The following is a 13,395-nucleotide window of genomic DNA, read 5'->3' as shown; positions in this document are numbered from 1 at the left end:
CACTTTAAAGATGCCAATCAATTTTCTTGAATTTGGTTCCTAGAAAATAAGCTCCTACTGACCAGTGCTTCTGATCCTTCCGAATTTCCCAGGAATTCAAATTCCCATCTGAATTCTCAGATTCTAATGATGTATGAAGTCACTTACAAGTCTTCAGTTTTAAAACTTAAGAGGTTTTTGTCTCCCTTTTCAGAACATTTCAGATGGTGAGAGGTGTCATATTGAGCCTCAGTGATACTGCTCAAGACTGACTCTTTAAATAATATCCAGATTACAAAAGCAATTTTTTTCAGTGTCATTGTTTTTCCTTCTCTAAATGTATATATTTTTATTTCAAAAATATGCCATACTCAGTCTTTAAGCTGGAAATGCAGAAAATACTATTAGAAATAAACCATCCATAGTCTTCACAAACACAGTCATTGTTAACATTTTATTATGTTTCCTTCAGGCTTTTATATATACATATGTATATATTACAACATTGTAAACATACTACAAATGCAGTTTCTTACTCAGCTTTTTCCCACTAAACGGCCATAAGCATTCTCCCGTGATATTACATAACCCTCATAAACATTCATTTTTATGGCTGGATGATATTCCAGTGAGAAGATGAATCTTAATTTATGTGGCTGTTCCCCTTAGGAAAACATTTAGGATATTTCCTACTATAAATAATTCATGTCAATTCTTTTTGCATAAAGCTAATTTCATAGTTATCTTTGCTCTAAAATAGAGTTTTAGATACAAAATAGTAATATAGCTAATGATAATGATCACTTTTTGAGCATTTACTATAGGAATTTTACTTGCATTACCCCTACTCACAACTTTTCAAAGTAAATAATTATATCCCCATCTTGTAGATGAGGAAACTGAGACTCAGATATTAATTTGCTTTAAGATGCAAAGCTAAGCAATAATTAAACCCAGATCTTTATTGTTCCAAGAGCCCTTCCCTTTGGTCCAGATGATACAGGTACTTTACTGTATCAGAGGATGTAAATATTTTTTAAGGATCTTGACACACATTGTGTTCTAGTATTTTTGCCATCTTTTCCTCCATTTGGAGATTTTTAATTTGGGGCATTTGTTTATGTCTGTGTGCAGGATTGTTGGATCTAGAAAAGTTTTTAAAGTTTATATTGTCAAATGTCAGTATTTTCCCTCTATTCTAAGCTTGGAGGGTTGGTGAATATCCACTACTTTTTTTCTATAGTTTGAGTTTGTTAATATTTAACTTTTCATTCCATGAGGAATTCAGTCTACCATGTGAAGGTATGGAATTTAGTATGTGGAATGAGAATAAACTAATTTATCTCTTGATTTTCTAACCATAGAACCTAAATCCATTTATTACAGATATTCTCTTTCCCATTGACAAATATTAGATTCTTATATGTAGTAGAATATGTTTCTTTGCTTTCTTCTATGTATCTACTCACTCAGTTGGTAAACATTTATTCAGTGCCTACACATGCCAGAAAGTGGTCTAAGTGTCTCGATACAGTGGAGGATGATGGCAGACTTATTAAACAAATAATTAAATCAATAATTACTTAATTATAGTATTTCTAACAGCTTTGAAGAAAATATATGAAGAATGCCATGGTGGCTTATAGCAAGAGTACCTGATTTACTCTTGCACAAATATCACACTTTCAATTTCTGAAGTTTTCTGAATTTTAATATCTAATAATTTAATATTCCCTTCCTAACCCACTGCTGTTCTTGCCTGCTTATTCTGTCAGGTGAAAGTAGGAATGATTTTTTTCAACTTATGAAAATATCACATTGTACTATTGAATTAAATACATATTAAATACAGCAATTAAATTGTAAAGAATTGACATATTTCACATATTCCAAAATTCTACCCAAGTTTTCTTTTATAATTCTCAATAACATTTTGTAATTTTATAGTTTTCTCCAAATACATCATTCAATTTTATCATTAAGGTTGCTTGTAGGCATTTTGTACTTTTTCTCCTATTATAATCAGGATCCCAGTTTTTATTATATTTTATAACTTGTTTTTAATACTGTAGAAGCAAGCTATTGATTTTATGTATTTATTACACAATCAGCCACCTTACTGAGCTCGTTAATTCTCATATTTTTTTCTCAGTTTTACTCCTTTGGATTTTCAATAGATGCATTTCTACCTTCAATTAATAATAGCTTTTTCTCCTCCTTAACAATATTTAGGCCTCTTTCTTTTTTATTCTATTTATATCAAATTGGCGAGAACACCCAAAAAAATAAACAGTGGTGGTTATGAACATCCTTACTTTGTGCCTAGTTCTTCATTATTTCTCTGTTTCATATGATGCTGGCTGATGATAAAATGTTATACTTTTTAATTAGTTGAAGAAAGTAGCCATCTATTCTTAATTTTTAAGAGGTTTTATTAGTAACAGATGTTCAATTTTATTATATCCATTTTGATGTCTTTTCTTAATGATCTCTTATGTAAGATAATTATTTCTTCAGATTATCAGCTACTGCATCAGTCACATTTGGTTGAGATATTTGGTGATTTTCTTTCTAAATAATGCTGCAACATTCTTGAGTACCATGGCAGCACCCTGGAGCCTTGGAAGAGGCTTGGGCCTAGACTCAGCCCACCTTGAAAGTGCAGAAACAGCCCTGTGAATTCAAGTAGAAGATGCCCAAGGCTCCTGAAGAAGAGATCGAAGGCCCCACAGGGCATAAATGTTCTATAATTTGAAGGGGGGGGAATCTCTATTCCTCTAAGAGAATAATGAATTGATTTGATAATGGTAGGAGTGTTTCAGTGTTGTTGAGTGTAAGAAAATTTTGGACATGTCTTGCTCCTGGGATGCTGTGGGTGCCAGAGCTTTCCATGCATACCTGGACCTTTGTATAGTTTGGTCTGGTAAGCTTGGTTGAAGGACGTCGCCAAACAAAATTTGAGATGTGAAATAAACCTTGGCCGTAAGTTTTGGGTCTGGTATTTAGTCAACTTGGAGTAGAGCTTATTTGAAATAATTTCCTGATCACCTTCAGAGTCTTCTAACAGCTACATCCAAGAGCCTTGATTTGCTGAGTTGCTCATCTCATTGGCCATTGATTCAATGAACATGTATTGAGCACCACTTATGTGTCTGGTACTGGGCTGGGGTGTTGCAAAATGCAAGCTTTATTATTATATGGGCATGTTGAGTTTATTATGATTTGGGATCAGGAGTTGACTGCCACTGAAAAGATAGTATGTCACCCACAGTTCCCCAGAGGAGGGTGCATGCCATGCCACACAGGGCCACATGGGGAAGCACCAGGGTCAGTCAGCAGGCAGAGAGAGGGAGGGAGGAAGTGTGGAAGGGCCTTTACTATGGTGTCTGTAGGAAGGAAAAGGAAGGGCAGGATAAGTGGACTTAGGGTTGGTTAGTGTGAATAAGTCTGGCAGGCTGTGAGGTTTAGGAGCGGTCCGGAGTTGCCTGGGACCTGGTCCTGGGATGGTTAGGACAGGGGAATACCAGCCCAGAGTGTGAGAGCCCTGTGAGCGTCTGATAAAGGTGGTGGTTGGAGAATACGGGCTTGGGGTTGGTTAGTGGTCAGATGAGGAGTACACTTGCAGACCCATCCTTTTCTATCTCTAAGAACTAGTTAGCCCTGGGAGTAAACATCTCCTTGGGATCAGCAAAGCCACTGATATCAAAACATCAGAAAATACAGAAGATTAAAATGCATGATTAATACATAGAGCTTTCAGTGAGAAAGGTGATACTGCAAGCCATGAGAAGGGTCAGAGGAAGAGTTTCATGAAAATACTGGGAAAAAAATGTCCTGCTATTCTATTGATATCTCTTAACTGGGGCATCAACAGTCCAGGCTATTAAGAAGTCCTTGAATCAATAGAAGAAAAAAATATAGGGAGAAAAGTTGACTAACCTCACGAGAAGTGAGGCTTTTGCTCCCCTGATTTTACTCTTCCCTGAAATGGGTCAAAACCAGAGACAGCTTCAAGGACAGAGCTGAGGGGCTGTGGCTGGAGGAGGAGCCTCTAGTGGGAGCAGGTGAACAGGGCTGGATGGGACAGGCACTCTCTTGACAAATGGCCCTTCTTCAAGTGGCTTCGGGACCCCTCCAGCCCTTCTTTCCCATGCAGCTTGGGGTGGGAATAGTGGTGGAAATCTACTGCTCAGGATGACTTCTTCACCTCCCCAGGATGTAGGGAGAGGTCAGCTCAATCCCATTCTCTCCCAGGTTTATGAAACTTGTTATTTCTCTGAGCCCATCAGTTGATCACAGAGGCCAGTCTCTGCTCAGCATTATATTCTAGGAAACATGGTTCAGCAAACACAAGTGTCTGCTAAGAAAGGATGAGATCCAGACACCCAAACATTTTGTTCAAAATAAGAAACCTACAAAGTCTTAGGTTTTACCTATCTTTATGTCCATTCGTGTGGAAGAAGAAAGTATCAATGAAAACTTACAACACGGACACCATTCAGAAAACTGAGATATCGACTTAAACATTATTCCCTTACCAGGACAACTAATTATTAAGTAAGACAACCATTAAGAATTGCAAAAACATTTTTTACAAGTCTTTTATTTTTAAAGGTACCACCTGCAATGAATTTTATGATGCAGAATAGTTTCAGGAAAATGGAGAAATTTTCATCTTGCTGAGGTTGTTTTCATCAGCAGTTGAAAGGTTGCACAGTTTCAAGGCTAAGCAATGTAATTTCATTTTTTAGCACCTAAGAAAACAGAACAGACTGACAATCTGAGGACTTACAATTTGGAAAAGAGAAGGGTAGCACAGGAGGATTAACAAATGAGTTATAGGGCATAAGATGTTTTTCATCTATATACTTACAAGCAATTCCAATGTTTACCGATGTTCTCAAAGAATATCACAGAAGATACAGTTCCAATCCATGACAACGTGGCTTAAAACCCTCTTTTCCTTTCTTTCCTTTCAATCTTGCTCACAGACCTTGTGGATCAAAGAGTCTCTCTCCGTTTCATTTCCAGCTTGCTGCCAACACTTCTCCAGTAAACCATGCAGGTGGCTCTCAACTTCTTTTGGTGCCCCAGCCCCCAGTCTTGGAACTACTTTTTTCTCTCACTAGATATTTGCCTCCTCTTTGATGGAAATGTTCTGGCCTCTCTCAGTAGATGTTCCTGCCCAGGCATTGAGCTAACAAATTCAAAGTTTCCCTTGGAAAGAAAGGGAGGAGGGAGGTTCAAGGATTCTCTTTCTTTCACAGTCAGGAGGATAGGAACGATGCTGTAAATCGCATAATTCAATAATTTGTTTCTTGATCATTCTTTTCATCGAAGTGACAATATCTTAAAGGCCAACCTTTGGGGGTAGGTCTAGAAAAATAGCCCACAAAACCCACTGGGCATGGTTTTAGTCCGGATCACTGGTCTTTGGGTATGATGAGGGGTGGGGCTGGAAGGGGGAAAAAGAAAGTGCTCAGTCTCTTAGGGGCACTTTTTCAAATTCTACTGCCTCTTTACGGAAACTCAAAGTCTCCTCTCCACTGAGACTCACATTGACTTCCCGTTCTTTCAAACCCAATCAAATACCTTGTTTGTCGGTAAATCTCATTGACTTCACTTCAGATCATGTCCAAAATCCAACCACTTCCTGGCACTTTCTCTGCCACCACTCCCATCCAAGCCGCTGCCAACTCCCACTTGGGTTATTGCAGTAGCCAACCTGTGTTAGTAGCCTATTTCCACTGCAACAAACTCCTCAAACTGAGCAACTTAAAGCAACACAGATTTATGTTCTCACAGTTCTGGAGGTCAGAAGTCTGAAGTGGATCTCACTGGGCTAAAATCAAGGTGTCAGCAGGACTGCTTTCCATCTGGAAACTCCGGGCAGAAGTCATCTTCTTGCCTTACTGAGCTTCTATGGATGCCTTGCATTGTATGGCTCGTGGTCCCTTCCATCTCAAAGCCAACAATGGCTGGGCGAGTCTTTCCCACACTGCATCACTCTGCCTCCCTCTCTCCTGCCTTCCTCTCACTTATAAGGACCGTTGTGATTTCCTTATGCACCTGGATAATCCAAGATTGTCTCCCCACCTCACGGTCAGCTGATTAGCAACCATAGTTCCATCTGTAACTTTAATTGCCCCTTCTCATGTAAAATAACATATTCACAGGTTCTGAGGATTTGGATGTGGACATCTTTGTGGGCCGTTACTCTGCTCACCACACCTCTTAACTCACTCCCAGTTTCTTGCCTCCCTTAAATCACTTCTTCACACAGCAGCCAAAGTAGTCCACTTAACCACATATCACATCACCTTACTGTGCTCAAGACCTTGTAAGGGCTCCCACTTTGTAGTCCCAACAGCCCTCAACACCACTAAGGTCCTTCTTATGAGCTCTATGAATGTATTTGCTGAATTTGAATACTCCTATCATTCCTGGCATCCACCCCACTGCATTACGGGAAATAAGGTTGCATTATATTTGCTAATGTTTTATTGAGAATGTCTTTGTCTATATTCAGAAGTGAAGCTGGTTGTTTGCTTTCTGTGTTGTCTTTTGTTTTGCTTTGTAGAACAGATTGGGGGCTTTGCGTCTTCTATAAATTAAATTAGCATGGAAGTCTTTGTTTCTTAAAAGCTTGAAAAAATTCCATGCCTTAAAACATTTTTTAAAACTTCACTGAGGCTTAAATTGACGAAGCATAACAAACAATAGGTAACAATGTGAAGAAGTCTCCCAAGATTTTTAAAAACGCATGTTATTAGTTGCCATCCATTCTCCAGAATCTTTTCTGTTCGATTCCATTCACTTACTCTAACCCAAATTGAATACAAAAATTTTGACTAAGGTACTCCCTTCTAACCCATTCCCAGTCCTACCTTAGAATCTAACTCCTGAGGTGCTCACACTACTGGGGTTTCAAATTAGCTTGCTGTCCAGATATCTGACCCTATTAACCAGAGGGCTGGCCCAGTGCACAGGTGGCCTGTCATGCTGGTTAGACTGAATGAATGAGCTGAAGAAAAGATCTGTGATCTTTTACGAGGACTCTGGATTAATTAGGAGACCCATTGTAGGGGAATTCCATCCCTGGATCCCCCTACATGTAGTCTCTGATGTGACAGAATAAAATGAAAATAGAATCAGCTACGATTGTTTCCATACATGTTAAGACTGGTACTCCCTAGCCAGAAAAAAGTTATTTCTACTTTAGTCTAACAGAGGAATCAAATGTTGCCCCATAGCACAATTTTTAAAATTTTAATTAAAACCTACTAACTTGAAATTTATGTACAGTCATTCTCCTTAATGTCACCTTAGCCAATTTTATAAACTATCTCTACTTGAAAGCCCTTCAGATATCACTCTCAGAAACAGCCCGAATCCATTACAAGGGTGAGTCACACGTCAAATATGTAAACACAAAATTAGAGTGGAGACTGGACATTCACTCTGTGTCTTAGGACAAGGTTTTGCTGCCCGGAGAGTTGATGGGAGCAACTCCGGAACTTTGACTACCAAATAATCTGAGGGTCTTTGCCTATCAGCTAAACCACACAATTGCTATCAATATCGGGCTTTCTTCATGTTTCAGATGTCCCAAGATGAAGAGAGATGTAGTTATAGATGTCACTTCTATGCATGCTGTCAGTGTTTACTGCAGAGGGTAGTGGATCCCTAATAGAGGGTGAAGGGAATTATTCCCTTCCACCTTGCAACCAGCCCTGTGTTCAGCACAGCAGCCTCAGCGGTGTATCCACTACACAAGAAGACAGGAAGTCAACAGCATGCTCCCAGCTGGTGGGAGTAGCATGAACATTCACAGCAATTTCCAGTGGCAAATGACTGTCCTGTTACATAGCTTCATATTTTCCTCTCTCTTTTAACTTCTCAAGTCAATCAGAGAAGTACTACATACTATAAAGTGAGGGGACTGACTAAACGACACACAAGACACTCCATTATATTACAGCAGCAATCTGTGTATTACATAACCCTTGGCCTCAGGTGACTTACAGTAAAGTTGGGCAAACAAGAAAACAGAACGGGAAGTTATCCGTGTAAGTATTTAGCATACCATATGCCTGGCACATGGTATGGATTCAAAGAGCTTTAGCTATCAGTATTATTATGATTGTTATTGGGAATATAAGATTACTCTCAGAAACATGAGAACAATGTTGAGAAACACACCAGTATCCTCACTGTTTGCATTGTCACCATCCATCTTCCTTTCAGCCCTTGTAGGGGCAAAGGAGGCATGGCAACTGAGCCAGTGCTGGAGGGTTGCTCCAGGGACAGCAGCTTGGGATAAGAATCCATTCTTTTTTTTTTTTTTTTTGAGACGGAGTTTCCCTCTTGTTGCCCAGGCTGGAGTGCAATGGTGTGATCTCTGCTCACCGCAACCTCCGCCTCCTGGGTTCAAGCAATTCTCCTGTCTCAGCCTCCCAAGTAGCTGGGATTATAGGCATGCACCACCATGCCCAGCTAATTTTGTATTTTTCACAGAGACTGAGTTTCTCCATGTTGTTCAGGCTGGTCTCAATCTCCCGACCTCAGGTGATCTGCCCACCTTGGCCTCCCAAAATGCTGGGATTACAGGCATGAGTCACAGAGCCCGGCCAAGAATCCATTCTTAGCCATCCAGGAGCAGAGTCAGAGGGGAATGAACAAGCCAACACCTGAAGAAGTGCTGAGAGAGTCTAAGCCAGGGAAGCCAAGCCAAAAGCCAAACGCTGCTGGTCAGCGGGAAAGGATGCCATGGGTCAGGAGCCAGGTAGAACCCAGAGGAGAAAAGAAGTCAATTTGGAGCAACTCAGGGAGGATCCAAAGTGGTGCTGGAACCGTAGCCATAGTTCACCTTTGCAGGCCACTGGGCATGGCCACGTTTAACCATCAGAAAGCTGAAGGGCCAGGGTCCATATACAATACTATAGGACAGTGGTTCTCAAAGAGAGTTCCTTAGGTCCAACAGCATCACCACAACCCTGGAACTTGTTAGAAATGCAGATCCTCAGGCCCGCCCTAAACCTACTAAATATCAACGTCTAAGGGTGAGCCCAGCCTCTGCAATAAGGAACTGCAGTCATGTAAACTCTATAAGTCAGCATTTCCCTACTTCAGCTGTATAAAAAACCATCTGGGCAGATTAACAGATACCCATGCTCGCAACCTACCCTACATCAATCAAATCAAAATCTTTGAGGAGTGGAGCTGTGGGGGCATTTGGCTTTTTTTTTTTTTTTTTTTTTTTTTGCTCTCTGGGTGATTCTAATGGTGGAAACCACTAGCTCTAAACATCTTCCTAAGGAGAAATCCCTTTATAATTTAAGGTATTACTAGGGCATCATTGTTACCCATGCTGGACACAGTGGAAAGACCGTATGTTCCAAATTTATCAGCCCTTTTCTTCAGGTTTCATGTAGCTTTAAATGAGACAGCTTATTGGAAGGACTTTTAACAACATTGTCTGATTGTAGTCAGCAAGGTTTTCTCTTCGCCCTGCTGAACGGATTATTCTTCGAGTGTCAAAAAGTAGAAACTATAATCCTTTGAAGTGACTAAGGACAAGCTTTCCAGAAACCTGGGATCAACACAACCCAAATGAAGGCAACTGTGTGTGTCGTCTCTGGATAGCTGGTAAAGAACAAGTGCTTCTTCAACTGAGATGAAAATTAATTCAGAGGTCAATACAGGTTCATTGTGTTCATTGTGATGGAAGATCCACTCACTAATTTCATTTGGGGATTAAATCTTTATTGTCTACTCTGCATTTCCATCTGTTTTCACAGTTTCTTTGCTTCTGTAGTGAATTTCAATCAGCAGAGGAAAGGACATTGTTATGCCCTCTCTGTTTCTTCATTTTTCTCTCTTGCATCCTTGTTCAATTCCTCCTGCTCTTCCCCTCCTCCTTCCCCCAGCCCCACTGGGTCTGAAATGCCCTATTTGATGTGAATTACACATCCTTGAGACTGGGACTTGCTTGTATTAAGACCACTTGCAGCTACCTCCAGCCATAATTGCAATTATAATTGGATGCAATTATTTGCTAAGTGTGCTTACAAATTTACCAGAGAGGCTAGATTAATTGTGGTTCATAATACCGTAAAGCCTCCCATCATGTTAAGATGCCACTTAATTCCTTCATTCTTCTAAGCTAATTAATCCACAGGCAACATGCACTTAATAGTCTCTGAATAATTACCAAGCTGGTCCAGTCTTTGCTAAGGTCAGCCCAAGCGGGCAGTCTTGTGGGGTCCTTCAGGCCTACAGTGCATGTAGAGCTGCCTTCTCTAGTGTCTTCTTCTCACTGCCTCATTGTCAGCAGGTGAACCAAGCCCCTCTCCTCAAAATAACGTTTCTGGAAGTTTCTCTATTCTTTTTTTAATGATAAGAGACATGGTAGCAGAAATAACTTCTGCTCCTGCAAAATCACCCTTTTAATTCCTAAACTCAACTTCTCCATCAGCTGCAGGGGTGATGGAAGGAGGGGCTGGAGGCAGGGAACTGTCATGCAGGTTGCATTAAATCCCATTCTGTGTGCAATTAGACAGCCTTGTACAGATTTCTGGAAAGGCCACCTGCCCCTTCCTTGCACAGCCTGCTTTAGCTCTGCAGATTACTCTGCTTCTGCAGCTCTCCTCCCACCAGCACCCTCTTGCCTCCCCCAGCCTTGCACTTCACAGCCGTTGCCAGCCAGCATCCCCGCACTGTAACAAAAGCATGCATTTTGGTTCACAAAACAGCTTTCCATCTCATTTTTACCTGGGAACAAGTCAGTGACTTGATATCATAGGAGGTGTCTTCTCCATTTTACGAATAGCAGAAATGAGGCTCTGGGAGTTGTAGTGACTTGCCCCAGGCAGAACCCAGACTCAAGCTTCCTGACTGCACACATGCAGGCACTTGGCGGACCACTCAGCCTCTTGGGGCACTTGAAAGTCTTCTGGATAAACCTCCTGAGATCTGGTGCACCCTGACCCACCAGCCCCATTGTTGAAAATTCCAGATTAGAGATCTTTCATTTGGTTGGGGCGTTGGGTCTGAGTTAAAATGCACTGCCCTTGGAAGAGGTGGCACGTTAGGCTTCCATTGGATACTGAGAACATATTGATTAGCCTCCATGCTCAGAATGCCCCTCACAAAGTGGAGACGGGGGGCTTAGGAAAAGAAGTCAGTTTTCTTGAGGATCAGGAAAGGAAAGGTGGAGTGGGGCAGGAAACCCCAGAACTGGGGCATTGAGAACACCATGGCATCTGGGATGGGTGAGTGACATGAAAGTGATCAGAGAAGGAGAGGAAGGCAACATCAACTCCAGACCTCATTAACTACCTATTCCATAGACTGTACAGGCGCCACCTGACTTGAAATTCCCTCTCTGCTTAGGTCTAAAAGGCCAGGGACACAACCCGCTGCCAAAGAGGGGCAGGTGAGACAATCAAGCAGGAGCCCCCAGTTTGTCTTGCCCTCAGATCCTGCCTCTGCTTTTGCACAACACTGACTGCACGGTGGGGAAGCTGACACCTTTCCCCATGCATTGACCTAACACAGCCAAAACCTTCCATCTGTGTGGTCAAGGCGAGGAGTGAAGTCACAAGCAATCTCATTGTCATTAAGCTCATGCAGAAGAACTTGGAATCCCAGAAGATTAGAATCCAGTCTTAGTGTCTACATCCTACTATGTCTTATTCCCCCTATTCAAGCATTAACTTGCTTGGAGAAAAGACTGTTTCTCTTTTCATCCTTTTCTTACCACCTCCCTACCCAGCACAGATTCCCCTCAAAGCTAACAAAGTCTGCCTTATGTGCTTAGAAAATAAAACTTAAAAAAAAGCTTAGTTAAATATATGAAAGAAATGAACACATTGAAGCTGTCTTCCCTAACTCTACACTTTGGTAGTGTCTTATGGAGAGTGGGAACAGAGTCTTAGTCCTCTCTGCATCGTAAGTACTGGCTCGATGCCTGACGCGCAATACATGCTTGTTGAACATCCACTGGATGCTGCTGCTCCATTGTCCCTTCTTTGGTCTTCATGGTTTCTCAGGCTGTCTGTGGATGTTTCTTGCTCTTCTGGGGCTAAGGCTCATGCTTTCCACAATGAGGAGGCTGACACCCCCGTGCTACTGTGCACCTGCTTACTGCCAGCATGATCTCATGTGTCTCTGCTTCTTCTTCTTCCCATATCACATCTGTTCTTCCAGCTCCCCACGTCTAACCTTCTTCCCTTAGACATATTCTCCAAGTAGCTCCTCCTTGTCCTTCTCCCACTTGCTGTATCCCCTTCACCAGCCCAGCTCGCCTACTAACTCCTTCGCTGACCACTCAGGTCCCACTAAAGTGGTGGCTCCATTTTCTAAATTCTCAGTGTGTTTCCAGTCTGAGCCACATGGTTTAGCCCTCTGCCAACGGTGTGCTGCATTATCTTTGGTGATCTGTGCTCCATAAGCAAGTTGAGCCTGCCTATCCTCACACTGTGCTCCTCCAACCCATCTGCCCCTCCTTCCAGCAGTGGAAACAGAAAAGATGCCCAATTATTGGGTAGCAATTATTCATTTTCATGCCCTGGGCTTACACATGAGAAGAAAGTATAGTATCATGAAGTATTTCTCAAAGGATGGAAGTCATGTCACTTAAATCATATTCTCCTGGCAGAGGGATAAAGAGGAACCTGTTAAAAATTCAGATTCCTGGAGAAATAGGAACGCTTTTACACTGTTGGTGGGAATGTAAATTAGGCCAACCGTTGTGGAAGGCAGTGTGGTGATTCCTCAAAGACCTAGAACCAGAAATACCATTTGACCCAGCAATCCCATTACTGGGTATATACCCAAAGGAATATAAATCATTCTATTATAAAGATGCATGCATTCATATGTTCATTGCAGCACTGTTCATGATAGCAAAGACATGGAATCAACCCAAATGCCCACCAATGATAGACTGGATAATGAAAATGTGGTACATATACACCATGGAATACTATGCATCCATAAAAAGGAACAAGATCATGTCCTTTGCAGGGACATGAATGAAGCTGGAAGCCATTATCCTCAGCAAACTAACGCAGGAACAGAAAACCAAACACTGCATGATCTCACTTATAAGTGGGAGCTGAACAATGAGAACACATGGACACAGGGAGGGAAACAACACACACTGGGGCCTGTCATGGGGGGTGCAGGGAAAGGGAGAGCATCAAGATAAATAACTAATTCATGCAGGGCTTAATACCTAGGTGATGGGGTTGATAGGTGCAACAAACTACCATGGCACATGTTTACCTATGTAACAAACCTGCACGTCCTGCACATGTATTCCAGAACTTAACATTAAATTAAATTGAATTTTTTTAAAAAATTCAGATTTCTGGGCCTTGCCTCAAGCCCATCAGAATCTTTGAAGGTGGG

General features: G+C 41.5%; 1 long non-coding RNA gene across 1 annotated transcript; it reads right to left on the bottom strand.

Moving 5' to 3' along the window:
• Positions 1-4,566: 4,566 nt before the first annotated feature.
• On the bottom strand, positions 4,567-12,716 carry LINC02813 (long intergenic non-protein coding RNA 2813). Its single transcript, XR_001738495.2, has 3 exons — positions 10,753-12,716; positions 4,853-5,266; positions 4,567-4,733 (listed from the first exon to the last, which is right to left on the bottom strand). It is a non-coding gene; the product is annotated as a long intergenic non-protein coding RNA 2813 (long non-coding RNA).
• Positions 12,717-13,395: the final 679 nt, after the last annotated feature.

This window comes from Homo sapiens, chromosome 1, assembly GCF_000001405.40.
Source record: "Homo sapiens chromosome 1, GRCh38.p14 Primary Assembly".
Taxonomy (NCBI): domain Eukaryota; kingdom Metazoa; phylum Chordata; class Mammalia; order Primates; family Hominidae; genus Homo; species Homo sapiens.
This window is presented reverse-complemented; position numbering and strand designations above follow the sequence as displayed.